Genomic DNA, 8,840 nt, shown 5'->3' on the forward strand with positions numbered 1-8,840 from the left:
TCTTTGTTAATGGGAATTGAGCTTTAAAATGGTCGATTTCATGGCACGTAAATTATATCTCAGTACAGCTATTTTTTTTAAATAATAGATTCTGAAGTAGAAAAGGGATGGACAATGAGAATATTCTCCATTTTTCCATCCAGCATCTGGATGGTAAGGAGAGACTTTCTTTCTCTCACTCTTACTTTGGCTTTCTCTTTCCCACTCTTAGAGGCTTTCCTCGATGGCGAATGTGGAACTCCTTCACTCTTAGCCTTTGTTTGAGTTCAGCCAATGTGAGGCCCAGAAGGCAATCATACGACGAAAGGAGAGAGATATCAAGATATCTATTGCCTTTCCTCTCTCCCCTGGGGAATTATAGTTAGTTACTGCCTCTGTTTCTCTATCTACAGCCATAAGCTCCTATCTGGTAACTTCTCTCTCAAAACTACATCTCCCTGTACATTCAGTAACAGCTGTTTTCCCCTTGTGCTTTCACTCTAGAGATTATAATAGGTTCCAGCTGTTGCTAATCTCTGCGTGCTTCACCATGTTTTTGTACTTCCTTAATTCTTCCCACTCTTTTTAAATAATGCCTAATCATTTCTTAAGTTACCTGTTTGAGGCTACCATTTTCTATCAGAAGGCCAGCAAATAGAGAAGGTCTCACGGAGATATGAGAAGGTAAGATTGGCAAAAATACTTTTAATGAGAAAATGAAGCAAACCATATGAATATGTTGGGAAAGAGTGTTCTACACAGAGGCAAGAGCAAACGCTAAAGCCTGAGGGAAGAGTTTAATCAACCAGCTTGCTTAAGAAGCAGTAAAGAGGCAAATTTGGCTGAAGTGAAACAAGCAAGTACAAGAGTTGTAAGAAATAAGGTTGCAAAGAGCATAGGTTCGATGAGATGATGTAAACTAAAGGATGTTGTAGAAATTTTGGAATTTACTCTGAACAATCGGAAGCCATTGGGAGGTTTACGTGTAAAAGTGAAATTATTTAGCAGGATCACTCCAGCTGCTAGAGCTGAACAGACCCTAGAGACAAGTGTGGAAGATATAGCTGCAATAATGTTTCAGTAAATAGGCTAGAGATGATGGTAACTAGGATCAAAGTGATAGCTGTGGAGGTGATAGAAAGTAGGCAAAGTCTCGGTATGTTTTGAAAGTAAAGCCAACAATAGTCGCTTATGAATTGGATAGAGAGTGTGAGTGAAATAAGAGTCAAGAATGACTACAGCTGTTTTGCTTTGATCAGTGGAAAGAATGGATTCACCATTAATTGAGATGACCTTTGAATTATTTCAAAGGAATATAGAATACTCCTTTTACAATCCATACACAACTTAATTCTTCTCAAGAAACATGGTATTTATCGTTAATCTCTTGCAAAATATCCAGCAGGTCCTCCAATAATGTCATTTCATTCAGTGTTGTTTTGTTGTAGCATTGATGAGAAAATTGAAATCAATTTCAGGTGGGAGCCACTGTCTTGTGTGGTTTGCAGTCACCTCGTGTCTGTGTGGGTTTTCTCCAGGTACTCCAGTTTCCTCTCGTATCCCCAAGGGGTACATGTTAGGTTAATTGGGGTGTCTCAGTTATCCCAGTATGGTGACTGTGGGTGTGGGCATGAGTGCTCCCTTGAGGGATGGTGTCCTGTTCAAGGCTTGTTCCCACTTTGCACCTCGAGCTGCCAGGACAGGCTCTGGCTACCCACAGTCCTGAACTAGAATAACTGAGTAAATTACCTTACTTGTTTACACTAATCTTTCTTAAAGGTAGGTATAGCTCACATTTATCTCGATGTTTATTATTAGAAGTCTTTTGGTCTTTAGTTAGAGATTTGGTCATGTTTTTATGACCAGTAATGTGTGGTAGGAACTAAGCTCTTGTTTGTGTCAACCAGCCTATGGTAAAATTAGTTTTGTTATATGTTGTTTCACTTGAAGTCGCAGTTTTCAAGAACATATCTACAACTCTAAGTGAGGACTTGCTGTGCAAATGTGTTATGTATCATTTTGTTACTTTATGAGGACCCTCTAAATAGCAAACTAGTTGACATTTTCACAACTTACTCATTTTAAAAGTACACGGAGGGGGTGATGGGCACACCAAAATCTCAGAAATTACCACTAAAGAACTTATCCAGGTAACAAAAACCCACCTGTTCCCCAAAAACTATAGAAAGGAAAAACAAGAAAAGTACACAGGGTTTTTATATTATTTTCATAATACAATGTAAACCAAAAAGAATTGTTTGATAGCCACTCAGCCTTTAGACTCATTCATCAAAAACAAAAACAAACAAACAAAAAAAAAAACAAAAAAACACATTTCCGAGGAATGGCTGGGACCCTGAACATCATAAAACATACCATCAAGAGTACTTTTTAAAAATTCTTAGTTCGTGTGGTTAGGTCACTGACGTCAAAGCAATGATGTGTCTCACAAGAACAGATGTAAGTTTTCAGATATTTCATAATTGAAATGCATTGTTTTCTCAGTGTTTCAGTTTACAGTAATCAGAATCTGATGTCTATTTTAAAGAACCTGAAACTATTGCTATAAATGGCCCTACAATTTGCATAAAATATCAATGAATTGATGAGGTTAAGGTTCTCTATTTTCTTTTTAAAAAGTTAATTGAACTTAAAAACAACTTTATTAAATATTTATGTAGAGGTAAGTAAGTTAAATGATAAACAAACACTCTCATTCTCCACACATGGATTCATCAAAGTAAAACATGAATGTTGCCTTTAATGCCTCTTAATGCATGCTTTGTTTTGGCTATTTCCATCTGTATAGTTTTGTTTTAGAGAAATACTTAATGACAGGCAACTGAAAGACTAACTTTTTCATATGTCTTTAAAATTTCAAATGTAAAAGTGACACAGGAAGAGGACATCTAAGTGCCAGAAATAAGTGCCAGAGTAAATCTGAGTGCCAGAGTAAAAATCACCATTCCAACCATCACAAAAACATAATGTTTTATTAGGGCTTTAGAATGTAATGCATTTTTGTTGGAAATGTATTAATTTATGTAATTCTTACAATGATCCTATATGGGCCTATCTAATTAATAAGTGTGTATGGAACATCATGACTCAGATTATTATCTATTACATATAATCTATTAAAACAAATCTTCATTTTTACTACATATTCATATCTCTCTAGATATAAAGCTGATAGACCAGCTTTGGATAGATCCTCTGAACTATGCTATCTCACCTAAGAACTGAGTATAAAATGGTAACTTCTTGTTGCTTATTAACCAATACTTATTTAAAAATACAGTCATCAGTACTTCTTATAATGGTATCTGCACATACACTTTATGAATAATAATAGAATTTAATATACAATGAAATCTTGCTAACCTAGGAAGATATAAAAAGCAGATGTGAATGAATAAACGATTTAAATTGCCATTTTAATACAGTTGGTCTCAATAAGCAGCATTTTTAAAACCACATTCATGGGTTCTATAATCAGGTATATTATTAAAATATATATTTATAATTATTATTTACATATAGGTAGAACTCTGTTTTTCAAACTTTTCTGCCCCATTTTGTTGGCACTATTAATTTGCATTGAGTTTTTTTAAGTTTATCAGAAGTTAATTTAAATCTGGTTATCAAATTTTCAGTCTAAATTGATGGAATCTAAATTAATACCAGAAACTTGTTCTCAAGTGTCCTAATTCCATTCCTAACCATCCAGTCTTATTCATAATAACTTTATATCTCTCTTCAATCTATAGATTTATTTTCATATTTATCATATTACCACACACATTAGTCTTTTTACATCCAGTCTTGAATTGCTCTAAGTGCTTCTGCATACTGCAAAGATGTCTCTGAAATCCAAATCTGATGCATTAATTTGTTTTAACCCCTCGGGGATTCCTATTATTCCAAAGATAATATCCAATATCCTTAGTAGAGCTTTAAGGCCCTTTATCTTCTGGCCTCTGTTTATCTTTGCTCCTCATCTGCCCCAAGCTTTCTAACTCCTAGACTCTAAACCCCAATCAAAATCAAAACAAACCCCTCTATTTTTTGCCTCAGTCATACTGACTTCCTTGAACATCTTGCACTTAACTCACACTCCCTCGCTTCCAGTCTTTGCACATTTTTCACCATCCTCCTATCTTTTTAAAAACTGGTTTAGGTGTTCCTTCTGTCAGACGATGTCCTTCCAATGGATTAATCACTTTTTTTTATTTGTTGATTTCCCCTGACTAACTTTAAGTTTCTTAAGTGTCATCCTCATAATTTTATTCTCAACTCTTAGTGTTTTTTCCATGAAAAAATAAAATTGATTCAATGCAACGAAATTAAGTTTCTTATAAAGTGTTTATTTGTAGTTACCAAAAAAAGTTGCTAGCACAATAGAGGATGGACAAAACTTATTATTAAAATTACAATGGTAGAAGTTCTTCTGCTTCACTCTGCAGACCTGCTCTTGCAGCACAATAGTCCCATAACAGAAGCCATGGAAATGATTTAAAACAAAATCAGATTCTTCTTGCATAATCCAACCCCCATAACCTTCTCCCACCCCATCTCCTACCTCTCTCATCCCTGCTCAAACCTCCCTAGATATTTTGCAGTTTTATGATTGTTGGATCCTACCTTAGGGACCTTGTAGATGTAATTTTCTTGGACCTCAATAATTTGCATAATTCTTTCTCAAATAACACTCAAAGACAGCCAGCTACCCTAGACACCTCATCTAAAATATCAAGTCTTTATACATACCATCACTCTCTTACCTCTGATGTCTGTGTTTTCCTAATAGTACTTTTCAATACCTGATATTACTTTACATATTTATGTATTTATTGACTTCCCTAATTAGCTCATTGGTGGCATGATTTGAACTTGTCATATAAACAGCTGTATTTCTATCACCTAGACCAGGGCTTCACACTTAATAGATGTTCAATAAATATTTCTGGAAGGAAGGAAAAAATAAACAATGAAAGATTTTAAACTGTTAATACTTTTTAAAAGTTTATTTGATGCTTTAAACCAATTGAATAACTGACTTAATCATAAAATCGGGCATGCAGTCATCAGTCCTTTAATTAGTCTCAAATAACAGGTTAAATAGTGGATTTGGTGATTACAAATAATCTTGTTAGTATTACAATATATTGTGAATACAGTTATTTATATTATGTTTTAAAATTATAATTATAATACTTGTGTATTATAGACAAAGGATGTTTATTAAGTCCTTGGACATTTTTTCCCAATGTTTATATTTTAACAAAGTTGTCTCTGGGGTATTTACTTCATAAATATTTGAGAGTTGACCACTGCAGACACTGGTGACAGAGTAGGGACTCCAGCTGGGTCAATAATGATACTTCATTCCCCCAACTTTGGTGGTTCAAGTGTTGGCAAGTATCCCAATTTGGCCCAGGCAGAATATTTTGGAAGAATTTTTAAACCGGAGAGGTGGTCTCCGTACTCTGTAGCTTCGGAGGTAGGAGGTTTTGAGTACAGAGCTGCAGATGGCTATTTTGCTCATTATGCAGAGAAGCCCATCTGTAGTCAAAGATAATAAATATGACTCATGGAGAAAAATAGAAGTTTGTGATAGACCAAATCCTACAGGCATTTGTTGTGTGGTTTGAACTGCTCTGACTTTGGAGTTACCCTTGCTGCAGCTTCGATGTTTAGCCCTTCCTTCAGTTTTCTACACTACCGCAATGTATATCTAATATATAGCTTGTTGTTGATTAAGATATTACAAATTGAATTTCTATCTTTACAACTAAGAGTTCTGACTAAGAGTATTTATGGCAAAATGTCTTTTGAAAATATTAGTGTACTTGAACCCTATGAAATTTTATGATGCTGTTAAAGGAAATAGTGCATAACATTTACCTTGCTACCTTAAGTGAACAAATTAAAAAATGGTGTAGATCATGAGATACCATTAGGGCTGGGAGAATTGGGGGAAGAGGGAAAGTTTATATATTGTATTTTTTGTTTACAATAAGCTTTTATTATCCATTTTTAATTAAAGAAAAATACAGCTATTTAAAAGTAACAAAATAAAGTAGACAATAAAGAATCTGTTTACTAATTTAAAGCAATTTAGCTTAGAGAATAATAAGGCTGTATCTAGATAGGCAAACCATGTATGTATATCTATTAGGTAAAATATTGTCTTTAAACTCTTACTATAATGGCAATCTCACTTTGACCCTTTTTAGAATGCTACAAGCCTCCACTCATAATAAGGCAATCTCAGAGGGGTAAGATACGCTTCTAAGAGCAAATCACAATCTTGAGTCAAGTTGTTTTACACATTACTTGACTGTCGGAATTTAACAATGTAAAATAGGATATATGTTGCCAAAGGAAAGGAAATAAAAGTCTTCCAATAAACAGTTGAAAGAAACACAGAGCTAGGGTTACACATGGCTTATTTTGGATAGAGACAAATTTCGGTCCAATATCCTTTAAACTATATTTTGATATGCAGAGAGTGAGGCTGCTAGCTTTGTGGTTCAACTGCTCTGTGGATTCATAACAACTGATACATATGCAAGGATTGGTCAGTACTTCGGGTTTAGAGTCTCATAGAACTAGGATGTGACTTTCTGGCTGTTGGCAATGAATTAACTTCACATAGAAAATATGTGCTACTCCTCATATCAAGCACTTATGGCATGTAGGTATTACTTGAACCAGTTTCTGATTCCACATTGCCTGGATCCTTTTTTGCCAAGTAAATATGATATGTCAGTGGAAAAGGGCAGGACTTTTGAGTCATTCAAATCCGGGTTTTAAATGCTGATTCTGCTAAATATAAGCTGTGGGATTTAGGGGTAACTATTTGTCTTATACTTGTTTTCCTAATATGAGAAATGGGTTACTAACGTGGAACATTCAGAGCTTTTGTTAAATTTAGTATTTTTCTATAAGTAATTAATTTAGCTTTCACCAAGTATCATCGTTATTACTTGTTTTAAGAATATTGTTTACTCAGACTATTAAAGTGCCCTGTAGCAATATGATTAATTCATTTTGAGTACAGTAAAAATTAACATAAATTATAAATTTTCAGAGATGATTTCTATAGGGAAATTACCTGGAACTTAAAAACAGGTGACAGGCCAACAATGGGCATTTATTTGCCCATTGTTGGGCAAATAGAGGCAAGAAGGGACAAGAAGAGGTTCTATCCTCCATTGGATCAAGATCACACTCAATATTTGATCCTTTAAATTCAAATATTTTAGTATATGTTGTCTTCTAGTTTTTGAAACAAGCTTTAGTGAGAAAGTTGTGATCTGTAATACATCCTAGGAGACCTTTAGATCCAGAAATTTTACATAGCATTCAATATTTCTATTAATTAAACTTCAAATATTTATTCCATTGTGCTCTGTGTCTTGGCATTGCAGGACAGATTTCTCAAAATAAATTTGGCCCTTTTATTTAAATTAAGAAAAATTTGTACAAGAGTTTTTTGGAATACTACATCAGGAAAAATAGACACAGAACAGAATGATTATTAAAAATTCCAAATTTTAATGTTAAAAGGTATTAATATCTTAAAATGTATTTTTAAATGAATCATAGTATGTAATATGGAAAAATGTAAGGTCTCATATCTTACAAAATCTCATACAAAAATAGCAATAATAAAACAATAACAATAAAATCCAGATTTGTTTAGAATTTAAGTATAAAAAATTATTTCAAAAATTATGAAAAACTGGAAAGAAGTACAGTTAAAGCAAATTCAGATGATAGCAGTTGACCACACAAAAACGATATGTTTCAAGAGGCTTAGGAATGATCTTGAAATTTTACTTCTAGGATTTTATTCTAAATGAGTTATTAGCTATATATATATATATATATATATATTTATATATATATTAGCTATATATATATATATTTATATATATAAAATTTTATGTACAAAGATGTTTATAAGTGAATTAATATTAGCAAAAATTGAAAACAAAACCTAGAACTTAATTCCAAGAATAGAGAAACGTCTAAATTTCATTTGTTACAGACATAAAATGAATAACATGTTTTTAAAGATCTTTTGGGAGATGAAAATGCTAATGATACAATATAAAAATATGATACCCAGTGCATTTGTGTTAATAAAAAAAAATAAAAGAAAATAGAATGTTAATGAATATTTTGGGATGGTGAAATTATGATTATTTTTCTCTTCTATATATTTTCTATATTTTCAATTTTTAAAAGGTCACATGTTAATTTATAATTTAAATCAAAATAAACATTGAACTAAATAATAAATACATGGCATACATAGTGGAAGAATATGACTGTTTAACTTCCTATATGTGAGGAAGACTATATTTTATGTCTTTTTCTTTTAGTTTATATTATCTTTTACCTATAAAAAATCCAAACAACTAACAAACAGAAAACAACAACATCATCAACAAAAAAGACCCTCTACAAAAACCCATCCAAAGGTAATCAGCCTCAAAGATCAAAGGTAGATAAACCCACAAAGATGAGGAAAAACCAGGGCAAAAATGCTGAAAATTTCAACAGCCAGAATGCCTTTTGGAATCTTAATTTGGTGCTAAATGCCCCAATTAAAAGACACAGCCTGGCAAATTGGATAGTCAAGACCCACCAGTATGCTGTATTTGGGAGACCCATGTCACGTGCAAAGACACACATAGGCTTAAAATAAAGAGATAGAGGGAAACTTACCAAGCAAATGGAAAGCATAAAAAAAAAGGGGGTTGCAATCCTAGCCTCTGATAAAACAGACTTTAAACCAACAAAGATCAAAAAAAGACAAAGAAGGATATAATGACATAATGGTAAAG

The sequence above is a fragment of the Homo sapiens genome, chromosome 7 (genome assembly GCF_000001405.40).
Source record: "Homo sapiens chromosome 7, GRCh38.p14 Primary Assembly".
Lineage (NCBI taxonomy): Eukaryota > Metazoa > Chordata > Mammalia > Primates > Hominidae > Homo > Homo sapiens.